The 14,651-nt window shown below is 42.9% G+C and overlaps 1 protein-coding gene across 167 annotated transcripts in view; it reads left to right on the top strand.

The window, feature by feature from the left end:
• MAP4 (microtubule associated protein 4) overlaps positions 1–14,651 on the top strand; it is a 238,154-nt gene that overhangs the window by 77,071 nt on the left and 146,432 nt on the right. For 162 of the 167 annotated variants that reach the window (NM_001384680.1, NM_001384817.1, NM_001384753.1 and 159 more), the window contains one exon: positions 12,899–13,140. The exons of 4 other annotated variants lie outside the window; for them this stretch is intronic. In NM_001384680.1, the coding sequence (NP_001371609.1) occupies positions 12,918–13,140 (223 nt within the window). In that variant the 5' untranslated portion in view covers positions 12,899–12,917. The remainder of the gene's footprint in view (positions 1–12,898; positions 13,141–14,651) is intronic. One more of the 167 variants, NM_001384848.1, reaches the window with a different exon arrangement.

The following is a 14,651-nucleotide window of genomic DNA, read 5'->3' as shown; positions in this document are numbered from 1 at the left end:
TGCTTTTCATGGAACCCTTTGACATTATAATCTGTTAGGCTTTTAAAAGCTCTTTAATGAACTCATTTCTCAGCATTTTCCCTGTCATGATCTGGAGTTACAATAATACTTTATATGTAAAGTAGGCTGGACGAGCATAGAATAGGGCTTCCCACCCACATTCGTCTGTTGTAAATGGGTCACAGGTGTGCCACTACTACTATAGGAACTTTTTTTTTTTTTTTTGAGACGGAGTCTTGCTCTGTTACGTAGGCTGGAGTGCAGTGGCGTGATCTTGGCTCACTGCAGCCTCCACCTCCTGGGTTCAAGCAATTTTCCTGCCTCAGCCTCCTGAGTAGCTGGGATTACAGGTGCATACCATCTAAATAATAAAAATCAGTGCCCAGCTAGTTATTCTGTTTTTGTATTTTTAGTAGAGATAGGGTTTTACTGTGTTGGCCAGGCTGGTCTCAATCTCCTGGCTTCAAGTGATCCACCCGCCTTGGCCTCCCAAAGTGCTGGGAGATTACAGGCTGGGATTACCAAGTCCAGTTCCTACTATAGGAACCATTGAATTCCTATTTATGGTTCCTTCAGAAAAGCTGCTAAATCCTGAATTCGGCAGTGGTTATTCAAATAGTGGAATTTATAATTCCAGTAGTGTGAGATGGCATTTGCTGTGGACAACAGCTCTGTCATGCCACAGGAGCCCCTTTGGCAGCAAAGCTATCAGTTTTTGTCACGAGCCCCACACTACTTGTTTTAGTCAGGATTCTCTTAGAGGGACAGAACTAATAGGATATATCTCCAAAGGAGAGTTTATTAAGTATTGATTTACGTGATCACAAGGTCCCACAGTAGGCTGTCTGCAAGCTGAGAAGCAAGGAGAGCCAATCCGAGTCCCCAAAATGAAGAACTTGGAGTCCGATGTTCGAGGGCAGGAAGCATCCAGCACGGGAGAAAGATATAGGCTGGGAGGCTAGGCCCATCTCTTCATGTTTTTCTTCCTGCTCTATATTCGCTGGTGGCTGATTAGATGGTGCCCACCCAGTTAAGGGTGGGTCTGCCTTCCCCAGCCCACTGACTCAAATGTTAATCTCCTTTGGCAACACCCTCACAGATACACCCAGGATCAATATTGCATCCTTCAGTCCAATCAAGTTGACAGTATTAACATTACAAGTCCACTCCTTGTCAACTTGAACCCATATACATCTGAGATCGTATGTAATCTTAAAATAAAGACAATAATAAGGTCATAATTACACCTAATGTAATAAAACTATCCTTCATACAACCAGAAACACACCAATCCCCAACCCAAATACTATTACATAAAGTTAATAATACTTAAATGCTGTTATGAAATCAATAAATCTTATGTCACATGATAAAGGAAAAGGAAATATAAAGTGAAGATATTAGTACATGTGTATACATACACAAACATGTTTTTAACAAATGAAGGAGGAAATACTCATGGCAGTTACAGTCCTCATTTCTGCAGCTGGTCACGTGGTCATAGCTGGTATTGATGACTACCTTCTTCTACCCATTCTGTATTAACTTTGCCTTCCCCAAATACCTCAGCAGGTCATGGGTTTTTTTCCTGGTGGAGTGATCCAAACCTTCATTCCTGAATGGTCCGGATCATTTGTAGTCCTGCCTGGATTTGGCTGTTGTGGTTTTGCATTGACAGTAATCACAGGGCATGGTAATACGAAGAGATGCCCTAATGGGTCTCATGTATTCCATGCATACTCTTCCTTACTTCCGTTGTGAAGTTGTAGACTGATTTCATCTTGATAGTCTGGGTCAGTCACCTTAGCCAACACTGTAACTCCCCCTCTGAGCCTGTTGACTTAAAGGGAGGAGGAGCCCAAAGTGTCCAGGTGACAATCTTAACTTCCAGTTTAATGGAATCATTGTTGTGTCTCCTGGTGGCAGCATTCTTCCCTCTGGAATTAAGACCTCTAGGCCAGCAGAACATAATGTTGCAGGAGAGGAAGCAAAAATTTTGCTAGTGGATCACTAGGGGTGATGGTGAGTGGTGCCACTTCCAGTTCCACCCCTCGATTCCTGGACCTGTGAATCCTGGCTATGGGAGAAACAGTACCTTATATTGGACGCTGATTCAGAGGATACACGGCCTTCTGGAGGACTTTCCCACAGTTCTGCAAAGTATTGTCACCTAGTTGGCGTTGTAATTGTGACTTCAATAGGCCATTCCACTGTTCTGTCAATCCAGCTGCTTTAGGATGATGGAGAGCATGGTAAGACCAGTGAATTCCATGAGCATGAGCCTACTGCCGCACTTCTTTAGCTGTAAAGTGAGTGCCTTGGTCAGAGGCAATGCTGCGTGGCATACCATGATGGTGGATAAGGCATTCCATGAGTCAGCTGGGTGCGGTGGCTCACGCCTGTAATCCCAGCACTTTGGGAGGCCGAGGCAGGCAGATCACTTGAAGTCAGGAGTTCAAGACCAGCCTGGCCAACATGGTGAAACCCTGTCTCTACTGAAAATACAAAAATTAGCTGGGTGTGGTGGCGGGTGCCTGTAATCCTAGCTACTTGGGAGGCGGAGGCAGGAGAATCACTTGAACCCGGGAGGCGGATGTTGCAATGAGCCAAGATTGTGCCACTGCACTCCAGCCTGGGCAACAGAGTGAGACCCCTTCTCAAAACAACAACAACAACAACAACAACAAACCAAAAAAACATTCCACAAATGGTAGTCTTGGTAGAAGCATTGCATACAGGATAGGCGAACCCATATCCAGAGTAAGTGTCTATTTGAGTGAGGACAATCCTCTGCCCTTTCCATGATGGAAGAGGTCCAATATAATCAATCCGCCACCAGGTAGCTGGCTGATCACCCAAGGAATGGTGACATACTGAGGGCTTGGTGTCGGTCTCTGCTGCTGGCAAATTAGGCACTCAGCAGTGGCCGTAGCCAGGTCAGCCTTGGTGAGTGGAAGTCCATGTTGCTGAGCCCAAGCATTACTTCCATCCCTGCCACCATGGCCACTTTGTTGGCCATGGGCGATGGCAGGGGAAAGAGGCTGAGTGGTGTCCACAAAATGGGTCATCCTATCCACTAGATTATTAAACCCCTCCTCCGCTGAGGTCACTTGTTGGTGAGCACTCACATGGGATACAAATATCTTGTCTTTGACCACTCAGAGAGGTCCATCCACATACCTCTTCCCCAAATTTGTCACCAAGTTTCCAATCATGCTCCTTCCAAGTCCCTGACCAGCCAAACCATTGGCTACAGCCCATGAATGAGTATATAATCACACATCTGGCCATTTCTCCTTCCATTCAAAGTGCACAACCAGGTGCACTGCTCGAAGTTCTGCCCACTGGGAAGATTTCCCTTCATTGTTGTCCTTCAGGGATGTCCTAGAAAGGGGTTGTAGTGCTGCAGCTCTCCACTTTCGGGTGTTGTCTGCATATGATGCAGAACCGTCTGTGAAGCAGGCCCTAATCTTCTTTTCCTCTGTCAGCTGATCATAGGGAACTCCCCATGAGGCCATCAGTGCAGGCTGGGAGAGAGAAGGCAGGGTGGCAGGAGTGGAGGCCATGGGCATTTGAGCCACTTCCTCATGTAATTTACTTGTGCCTTCAGGACGTGCTTGAGCCCGATCACGTATATACCACTTCCATTTGATGATGGAATGCTGCTGTGCACAATCCACTGTATGGCTAGATGGGTCTGAAAGCACCCAGCTCATGATAGGCAGGGCAGTTCAGGTCGCATGGTGACTTGATGACCCATAGTCAAACATTCAATTTCCACTAAAGCCCAGTAACAGGCCAAGAGCTGACTCTCAAAAGGAGAGTAGTTAGCTGTAATCAGCACTTTGGGAGGCTGAGGTGGGCGGATCACAAGGTCAAGAGATCGAGACCATCCTGGCCAACATGGTGAAACCCCATCTTTACTAAAAATACAAAAATTAGCTGGATGTGGTGGCACGCACCTGTATTCCCAGCTACTTGGGAGGCTGAGGCAGGAGAATCGCTTGAACCTGGGAGGTGGAGGTTGCATTGAGCCGAGATCGCACCACTGCACTCCAGTTTGGCAACAGAGTGACACTGCGTCTCAAAAAAAAAAAAAAAGGAGAGTAGTTATCTGTAGAAGATGGCAGGGCCTTGCTCCAAAATCCTAGAAGTCTCCATTGCGATTCACCTATGGGAGCCTGCCAAAGACTCCAAACAACATCCCCATCTGCCACTGACACATTAAGCACCATTGGATCTGCTGGGTCATATGGCCCAGGTGGCAGAGCAGCTTGCACAGCAGCCTGGACCTGTTGCAGAGCCTTCTCCTGTTCTGGACCCCACTCAAAACTGGCAGCCTTTCAGGTCACTCAGTAAATGGGCCGGAGTAATACACCCAAATGAGGAACGTGTTGCTTCCAAAATCCAAATATGCCCACTAGGCATTGTGCCTCTTTCTTGGTTGTGGGAGAGACCAAACACAACAACTTATCCTTTAACTTAAAGGGAATATCTCAACAGGTCCCACAACACTAGATCCCTAGAAATTTTACTGAGACAGAAGGTCCCTGAATTTTAGTCGGATTTATTTCTCATCCTCTGGCATGCAAATGTCACACCAATAAGTCCAGTGTGTTTGCTATTTCTTGATCACTGGATCCAGTCAGCATAATGTCATCAATGTAATGGACCAGTGTGATATCTTGCGGAAGCGAAAAGCGATCAAGATCTCTCCAAATAAGATTATGACACAAAGCCGGAGAGTTGATATACCCCTGAGGTAGGACAGTAAAGGTATATTGCTGGCCTTGCCAGCTGAAGGCAGATTGCTTCTGATGGGCCTTATGGACAGGAATAGAGAAAAAGGCATTTGCAGAGTCAGTGGCTGCATAGCAGGTACCAGGAGATGTGTTAATTTGCTCAAGCAATGAAACCACATCTGGTAACAGCAGCAGCAATTGGAGTCACCACTTGGTTAAGCTTATGATAATCCACTATCATTCTCCAGGATCCATCTGTCTTCTGCACAGGCCAAATGAGAGAGTTAATGGGGATGTGGTGGGAATCACCACTTCTGCATCTTTCAAGTCCTTGATGGTGGCACTGATCTCTGCATACCTTCCAGGGATGTGATATTGTTTTTGATTTACTATTTTTTTAGGTAGAGGCAACTCTAAGGGCTTCTATTTGGCCTTTCCCACCATGATAGCCCTCAACCTAGCAGTCAGGGAGCCAGTGTGGGGGTTTTGCCAGCTGCTAAGTATGTCTATGCCAATTATGCATTCTGGCACTGGGGTAATGACCACAGGATGAGTCCAGGGACCCACTGGGCCCACTGTAAGTCAGACCTAAGCTAAAACTTCATTAATTACCTGACTTCCATGAGCCCCTAGTTTAACTGGAAGACCACAGTGATGTTTTAAGTCCCCTGGAGTCATCATCAGCCCAGAGCCAGTGTCCAGTAGTCCCCAAAGTGAAAGGTTGGATGGAGGTCTCCTTGGGGAAGGATGGGAGAAAGATTCACTGCATAAATTGTCAGTAAAGTAGTGGGGTCCTTTCTCAAGGGTACCTGGCCTCCCCTTCATTCAAGGGGTTCTGGGTCTGTAAACTGGCTGAAGTCTGGAAATGGATTGAGTGAGGGGCCATGATTCTCTTTTTATAATTCAAATTAGTCTTTTGTCCATTCGACCTAGAAGTTTTGTGTTTGTATAAATTAAGTGGGAATGCAGTAGGCTTCCTGTCCGTTTCACTTCTAGGAATACCGTGATTAATTAGCCAATGCCAGAGCTCTACATGAGTCAGACTATTCTGATTGTCACTTTGCCTCTGCTGTCCATTACGGTAGCTACGCCCACCTTGCCTTTGATGGTTGAGTGCTGCTACTTGGCCCCTGCCACCTTGGGATCCAGTTATTCCCCTCGTATTTCAATTTTGTAATTGAGTGACTGCGGTTCTCACCATTAGGTCTGACATGCAGAGAAGAGCAATTACAGGGCTCTTCAAAGATTCAAGTGCTGCCCTCACAAATCTATTTCACAAGGCATTGGTCAAGGGTATATCTTCTGGACCCTCCCAGCTGGGATGAGTAGGTCTAAAGTGAGTAATCCACTCCACCACCTCAATCTCCCTAAGCTTTTGGATGCCTTCCTCTACATTAAACCAAGAGATATCAGGCATTTCCAGCTCCCTCACAGTGGGCCATCTTTTAATGCATATTTCAGCTAACCAAGCAAATAAACTATTAGAACCTTATTTTAACTCCCCGAGCTGCAACATTAAATGCAGAGTCCCTACTTAGTGGGCCCAAATCAATAAATTCAGCCTGATCCAACTCTATGTTCCTTCCACCATTATCCCATACCCTTAATACCCATTCCCATGCCTGTTCTCCAGATTGCTGTTTATATAAATTAGAGAACAGTTCTTTTTTTTTTCTTAGAGGGAGTCTCGTTCTGTTGCCAGGTTAGAGTGCAGTGGCACAATCTCAGCTCACTGCAACCTCCGCCTCCCGGGTTCATGCAATTCTCCTGCCTCAGCCTGCCGAGTAGCTGGGATTACAGGGGTGCACCACCACGCCCGGCTAATTTTTTGTATTTTTAGTAGAGACAGGGTTTCACTATGTTGGCCAGACTGGTCTTGAACTCCTGACCTCGTGATCCGCCCACCTCGGCCTCACAAAGTATTGGGATTACAGGCGTGAGCCACCGTGCCTGGCCGAGAACAGTTCTTTTTGAGTGTAGCGCACCTCCTCCTGGGTCACACTCTCAACCTCACCTCTAGGGACCTGTGGGACTTGAGTTATAGGTCTAGAAGCAAATGGGTGTTGCAGGTACCTTCTAAGGAGAATCAACATTATCTTGCCTGGCAACTGCCTGAGAGGAGGCCATGACTCTTGCCTCAGGCAGCTCAGGGTTTATGTCCGTAGACAAAGATGGAAAGGTTGATGGCGGGGATGGGGGGTTATGCTGCCACTATGGGGGATGGGGAAGCTGTTCCTTCTGGCAAAAAAAGTTCACCAGAGTTTATAAACTCAGTGTTCCCAGCTTCATCAGGGTCCTCCCACACATCCCCATTCCAAGTTTCTGGGTCTCATTCTTTTCCAATCAATGCCCTCACTTTAGCAGTAGACACCTCAGGTGGCTGTGCATGCATCTTTTGTTGCAGGTCAGCCACTCGCATGATAAGAGCTTATGTCTGTTTTTCCACAATTTCAGCTCTTTCTCAACAGGAGCTAAGACTCTCACTCAGGGCAATCTTAGCAGATTTGAGACTCAGTATCTGCTTCTGAAGCCAGGAAACAGAATCCCTGAGTTCATCATTTTCTTTCATCACTTTGTTCACTGAACTTAGGAGCAACCAACCAGCTTCATTATGTTCGTTGGTTTTCCACATATGGTCAAAGGTATTATGTATAGAGTCACTAAAGTCCTTACCTTTCATGAGCAGTGAATCAGGAGTGTCAAATGCATTTATTTTGCATAACTCTCTAAATAGTTCACGCCAAGGACTATGAATGTTCTCCATGCTATTAGAAGTAGAGTCCTCAGCATTTTTGGATCAATCATATTAAGCAGCCAACTCCAGAAACCCCCAAACCAACAAAAGAACTCCATCCTTAACATTCTGTTCCTCTGGAACCACTCCTGGTACCAGAGTCTGTGTTAGTCTGGGGTCAGAGTTTTCTTAGAGGAACAGAACTAATAGGATATATATGTATGTTTATAAAAAGAGGAATTTAGTAAGTATTGACTTACACAATCACAGGGTCCCACAAAAGGCTGTCTGCAAGCTGAGGAGCGAGGAAAGCCAGTCCAAGTCCCAAAACTGAAGAACGTGGAGTCCGATGTTCGAGGGCAGAAAGTATCCAGCACAGGAGAAAGATGTAGACTGGGAGGCTAGGCCCCTCTTGCCTCTTCATATTTTTCTGCCTGCTTTATGTTCGCTGGTGGCTGATTAGATGGTGCCCACCCAATTAAGGGTGTGTCTGCCTTCCCCAGCCCACTGACTCAAATGTTAATCTCCTTTGGCAACACCCTCACAGACACACCCAGGATCAATGTTGCATCCTTTATTCCAATCAAGTTGATGCTCAGTGTTAACCATCACACTAATAAAAGTGTAATTCTTGCTGACCAAACTGAGCTGTGGGCTAAGATGGGAGTGGAAACAGCTCTAGACAAAAGGGCCATAGACTCTTCCTGGTCTTAACCAAAGCTCAAGCAGATTTCGAGAATGCAAAGCTTCTCAACTTGTGTTCTACAGTTTGTTGATGTCCAGTGCTTTGGAATGGCTGATCATAACAGTTTTGTACAATTTAATATGTTTTTTTTTTTTTTTTTTTTGAGAAGGAGTCTCACTCTGTCACCCAGGCTGGAGTGCAGTGGCGCGATCTCTGCTCACTGCAACCTCCACCTCCTGGGTTCAAGCGATTCTCCTGCCTCAGCCTCCCGAGCAGCTGGGATTACAGGTGCCCACCACCATGCTTGGCTAATATTTTGTATTTTTAGTAGAGAGGAGGTTTCACCATGTTAACCAGGATGGTCTCGATCTTCTGACTTTGTGATCTGCCTACGTCAGCCTCCCAAAGTGCTGGGATTACAGGTGTGAGCCATTGCGCCCGGCCCATATTTACTTTTTTATGGAGAAGATTCAACAGCTTCTTTATGACATCTATTATTAAACTCTCTCAGTGCGTGTCTTTCTTTGACATAATTTGCTCTTGTCGCTATTTTTCTTCTAACAGACTGATTAAATTGGATTTAACTTTATTATAGTTATTAGATATTTCTAAATGGAATTAAATTTATTTATTTATTTATTTATTTATTTATTTATTTATTTTTGGCCTTAATGTTAACAGCCAGAGTGTGATTTATTTTTTACTTATTTATTTAAAAGTTTTTAAATTTAATTTTTGTTTTTTGAGACAAATTTTCTGTCACCCAGGCTGGAGTACAGTGGTGCAATCTCGGCTCACTGCAACCTCCACCTCCCAGGTTCCAGTGATTCTCATGCCTCAGCCTCCTAACTGGGACCACAAGTATGTGATACCACGCCCAGCTAATTTTTGTGTTTTTAGTAGAAATGGGGTTTCACCGTGTTGGCCAGGCTGGTCTCGAACTCCTGGCCTCAAGTGATCCAGCTGCCTCAGGCTCTCAAATTGTTGGGGTTACAGGCATGAGCCTCTGTACCCTATTTATTTTTTATTTTTATTTTTAAAAATTTTTTGAGACAGGGTCTCACTCTGTCACCCAGGCTGGAGTACAGTGGTGCCATCACAATCATGGCTCACTGCAGTCTTAAACTCCCGGGTTCAAGCGATTGTGACACTTCAGCTTCCTGAGTAGCTAGGACTATAAGTGTATGCCACCGTACCCAGCTAATTTTTTTTTAGTTTTTGTAGAGGCAGGGTCTCAGTATGTTGCCTAGCTGGTCTTGAATTCCTAGTCTCAAGTAATCCTCCCACTTCAGCCTCTGAAAGTGCTGGGATTACAGGTGTGAACCACCACGCCTGGCTCAGAGTGTGATTTTTTTTTTCTTTTTTTTTTCTTTTTGAGACTAGAGTCTTGCTCTGTCACCCAGGCTAGAGTGCAGTGATGCAATCGTGGCTCCACACCTGGAGTTGTGGTGGCTATTCACAGACGTGATCATTGCACACTATAGCTTGGAACTCCTAGTTACAATCTCCCTGCCCCAGCCTCCTGAAAGGCTAGAACTACAGGTGCATGCCACCACATCTGGGTCACACGTATCTTTTGACATTTTTTGAGACCTAAATGAACTTCATCAAATTCCAAGTAGTATGATGACAGAGTCGCATGAACCTGGGAGGTGGAGGTTCCGGTGAGCTGAGATGGTGCCGTTGCACTCCAGCCTGGGCAACAAGAGTGAAACTCTGTCTGAAAAAAATAAAAAATAAAAAGATATGATTTAGGAACTCATTAGTATAGTCACAGGAAATTTAAATATCACATTTGCTTTAAGAAAAGTAAGCAGGCTGGGCGCAGGGGCTCACACCTGTAATCCTGGCACTTTGGGAGGCCGAGGTGGGTGGATCACTTTGAGGTCAGGAGTTCGAGACCAGCCTAACCAACATGGTGGCACCCTGTCTCTACTAAAAATGCAAAAATTAGCTGGGTGTGGCGGTGCGTACCTGTAATCCCAGCTACTAGAGAGGCTGAGGCAGGAGGATCACTTGAACCTGGGAGGTGGAGGTTGCAGTGAGGCAAGACTCTGCCTCAAAAAGAAAAGAAATCAGAGAAACAGCTCTTTTCTACTACATTTTTGTATAATGGTACTACCTAGAATTTGAAAAGATAATCATTTAAAATTATTGATGAGGAATTAAGGTTGTTATTTCAAATAGGAAAACTCATAAAATTAGGCACATGGAAGAAGGCTTAAATTTATTTGAAATTTTTAGATTTTATTTGGAAGTCTATATAAATATAATTGATTATTTAATATCTTTCCAAATCTTGGTATTGTATTTTTTTCTTAGATAATATAAAGAATATGTAATGAATGTTTTCACTAAGCTCCATATAGGTAGAGACAAACTATCTCCAGCATTCCCAGTACTGAACACATACTATCTTTTTTTTCTAGACACTTGCCTAGAAGATGTAGATCTTGCCCCTGGCCTTAATTATCCTGTCTGTACTTATTTGGGTATCGGATCTTGATTCTTAAGCCTCTGTGCCACCACTCTAATATATAGCAACACCCTTTGCTTGTTGGATTTGGGAATTGGGGGTACGATGACTTCTGATTTTTCAGGGTCTGGAAGTATTTGCTTTGTACATGTTTTGTAATCATGGTAGCCTCACAGCATGTAAGTGGGAGGAGAGGAGTGTGTGGGAACAAAGATGAAGATAAAATAAGAAGGAAGGAAGATAGGACCATATTCCTTGCTTTAATTCTATTTCTTTTTCCTAAGTACATTTGTTGGAGAGAGGTAGACGGTGGATAACAGCTTGAAAGGAAAGCCTGAAAATTAAGTGGCTTGAATCATAGTATATTTTTACTTTTTCAAGTTTGGGTTGGAGAAAGACTGTGTATTAGTTGAGATTCTTCCATTGTAAACAACAGAAATAGATTGGCTAAATTAGGCAAAAGAAAGATGAAGGCCGCTCACTTAGACTTGAAGTAGTCAACCAGGGCAACTAAATAGCTGTCACTCATGGACTTTTCTTCCAGCGTGTAGTCAATAAATGATCCTTTCCAACTGTCTTCTTCTTGACTTCTGATTGACCCAACTCTAGTCATGTCCCAAACCCTATAGGGGTAGGGATTGGTTTGTATTAGGGGAGATAGGAAGAATAGATTTCTGGACAAACACAAGTAGTGGCCATTACATTGTGCAACTAAGGATCTGTTTGACTTGTATTTACCTTGTCAACAACATAGCTTATATGTCAACTTATCCTATGGAGTCTCTTGGAGTTTCTGTTAGACTTTTTGAAAGCAGGCGTAGTACCTTGCACACTTTATTTCCTATTATGCCCTGCATTTGAATGGTGCCCAATTTATTGCAGGCCTTTGGCTCTTTTTTTTTTTTTTTTTTTTTTTTTTGATGGGGGAGTCGGAGACTTCCTCTGTCGCCCATGCTGGAGTGCAGTGGCGCAACCTCGGTTCACTGTAGCCTCCATCTCCCGGGTTCAAGCGATTCTCGTACCTCAGCCTCACAAGTAGCTGGGATTATAGGTGTCCACCACCATGCCTTGCTAATTTTTGCATTTTTAGTAGAGATGGGGTTTCACCATGTTGGCCAGGCTGGTCTTGAACTCCTGGTCTCAAGTGATCCTCCTGCCTCGGCCTCCCAAAGTGCTGGGATTACAGGTGTGAGCCACTGCACCTGGCCCCTTTGGCTCTTTTTACTACATTATTTCTGTATTTTCTAGGCTATTCACCTATGGTTTGCTTATAGATTTACTTTTTTTTTTTTTTTAAACTTTATTTTAGGTTCAAGGGTATATGTGAAGGTTTGTTGCATAGGTAAACACATGTCACAAGGGTTTGTTGTACAGATTATTTCAATTAAGTCTAGTACCCAATAGTTATCTTTTCTGCTCCTTTCCCTCCTCCCACCCTCCACCCTCCAGGAGACCCCAGTGTCTGCAGTTTCTTTGTATTCGTAAGTTATCATTTAGCTTCCACTTACAAGTAAGAACATGTGGTATTTGGTTTTCTGTTCCTGCGTCAGTTTGCTGCGGATAATATCCTCCTGCTTCCCATCTATGTTCCCACAAAGGACATGATCTCGTTCTTTTTTATGGCTGCCAGTAGATTTACTTAACTGCAGATTATGTAATTAAGAAGCTGGTAGTCTGTAAAAATGGTAATATACGTGACTACAGAGAGGGACCATCTCCCTTAGCTAATTGAGGGAAACGTGTCTTTTTTTTTTTATGCTGGCAGGGCTAAGTAGTTTGGTTGACAGGACTATCCACAAGTGATTCATGAAGAAGCAGGTACTCACTCCAAGATAAGATCCATACTCACAGTCTTTGGTCAAGAAAGTTGATTTCATTTGTCCGATAGTAATGTAACTATGTAAAGACCTGATTTGAATCTTACTGGCTATAGCTTTGGATATGTTGATTGTGGGGTTTTTTTACACCTCACTTTTCTTATAAATAGAAAGGACACAATTGCAATTGCTTTGTCCTGCCACCACCACCTCCCTCCACCCCCAGAAATGTGAGAAAAGAGTAACTAGCGGTGAGTTACCTTGGGTCAGACTGTCCATTTCTTAGCTTTATTTTTCTCATCTTTCAAATGAGGGAGCCTCTTCTAGCTGTAAAATCTTAGATTTTGATTCTTTTGTTTGTTTCAAACAATTGACAAGAGTTTCTAGAAATGTTTTTCCTTTTGCAGTGCTCGTTACATGAAAGATCTTTTTCCTCTTCACCAGGCAGTTGCAGTGGTGCAGAATGGCTGACCTCAGTCTTGCAGATGCATTAACAGAACCATCTCCAGACATTGAGGGAGAGATAAAGCGGGACTTCATTGCCACACTAGAGGCAGAGGCCTTTGATGATGTTGTGGGAGAAACTGTTGGAAAAACAGACTATATTCCTCTCCTGGATGTTGATGAGAAAACCGGGAACTCAGAGTCAAAGAAGAAACCGTGCTCAGAAACTAGCCAGATTGAAGGTAAGTATTTAAACCAGACTGCTTATATATGTTCAGAAAGCAGGTTAGGGATTATGCCTTTGGTATAATCTTGGAAACTGAGAATTGAGCTGAGTTTTTTTAGTGTAGGCTAGTAACTTTATGTTTCTTTGTTAGATACCGAGGAGGTAGACTTACCACCCTTTGAGTGAGCGTTCATGAGTCTGTGGATGACTTTTAACCCTAATGTTTCTTCTCTAATGTTTCAACAACCATATAATCTTCTTCTTAATTTCCTAAATTAAACTGTCTACTGTGCCTTTTCTCTGAAAGTAGCTTTGAAAAGTTAAATAAAATTCTGCGGTTATATCAGAACTTCATTTAGACTGGAATCAGATGCCATTTGTTGTCTTTGGAGTCATCCCACCTCAGGATTAAAGCATAATTAAAGCCTTTAAGAGAAATTTGCCATTTTCCTGGATCAGATGTGCTAATAATTGGCTGAGTATTTTTGTATCTGTGTTCATGAGGGAATTGGTCTGTAGTTTTCTCATAATGTCTTCTGTCCAGTTTTAGAATTGAGGTCACGCCGACTTCATAAAATGAATTGGGAAGTGTTCCCTTCTTTCTCTTTTCTAGAATAGTTTGCATAGAATTGATATTTTTTCTTCTTTTCAGTGTTTGATAGAATTCATCAATAAAGCTATCTGGGCCTGGAATTTTCTGTCGGATTTTTAAACTAGGAATTTAGTTTCTTTCAGAGATCATAGAACTATTCCAGTTATCTGTTTCTTAAGTTAGCTTTGGTAGTTTGTATCTTTCAAGGAATTCCTTGGTCCCTTTCCTGGCATAAATGTTGCAGATTAATGGAGATATGCTTTTAATGTCTGTAGGATCTATTATGTCCCCTTTTTCATTTCTTATACTAGTAATTTGTGATGTTTCTTTCTTTCTTTCTTTCTTTCTTTCTTTGATAAGTCTAGGTAGAGGTTTATCAATTGTATTGAAAGATCCAGCTTTTGGTTTCATTAATTTTTTTCTATTGTCTTTCTGTTTTTAATTTCTTCTCATATCTTTGTTTTTTCCTTTCTTCTGTTTACTTAAGTTGATTTATTCTTTTTCTGGTTTCTTAAGGTGACAGCTTAAATCAGGTTTTGATCTGAGACATTTCTTTTCTAATGTAATTACTTAATGTTATAAATTACCCTCTAATCACCATTTTAGCTGTGTCCCATGGATTTTGATATGTTGTATTTTTATTTTCATTCATTTAAAAATATTTAAAAATATTTCCTTTGTGAATTCCTCTTTGTGTCTGCCTTTAAGATTTTATCTTTTTTTTTTTTTTTTTTTAGCAGTTTAAATATGTTGTGTTTAGATGATATTTTGGAAGTTTTCTTCTTGGGCTTTTCTGAGCTTCTTGATCTGTGCTTTTGAAGTGGTTAAGTCAGCTGGGAAATTTTTGGCCATTATCTTTTAAAATATTTCTTCTGCCCCATTCTTTTTCTTTTCTCCTGGGATTCCAATTATATTTTTGTTAAATTGTTGGATAG

The sequence above is a fragment of the Homo sapiens genome, chromosome 3, assembly GCF_000001405.40.
Source record: "Homo sapiens chromosome 3, GRCh38.p14 Primary Assembly".
In the NCBI taxonomy this organism is placed as follows: domain Eukaryota; kingdom Metazoa; phylum Chordata; class Mammalia; order Primates; family Hominidae; genus Homo; species Homo sapiens.
The sequence above is the reverse complement of the archived record's forward strand: the minus strand, read 5'-3'. Positions and strand labels throughout refer to the sequence as shown.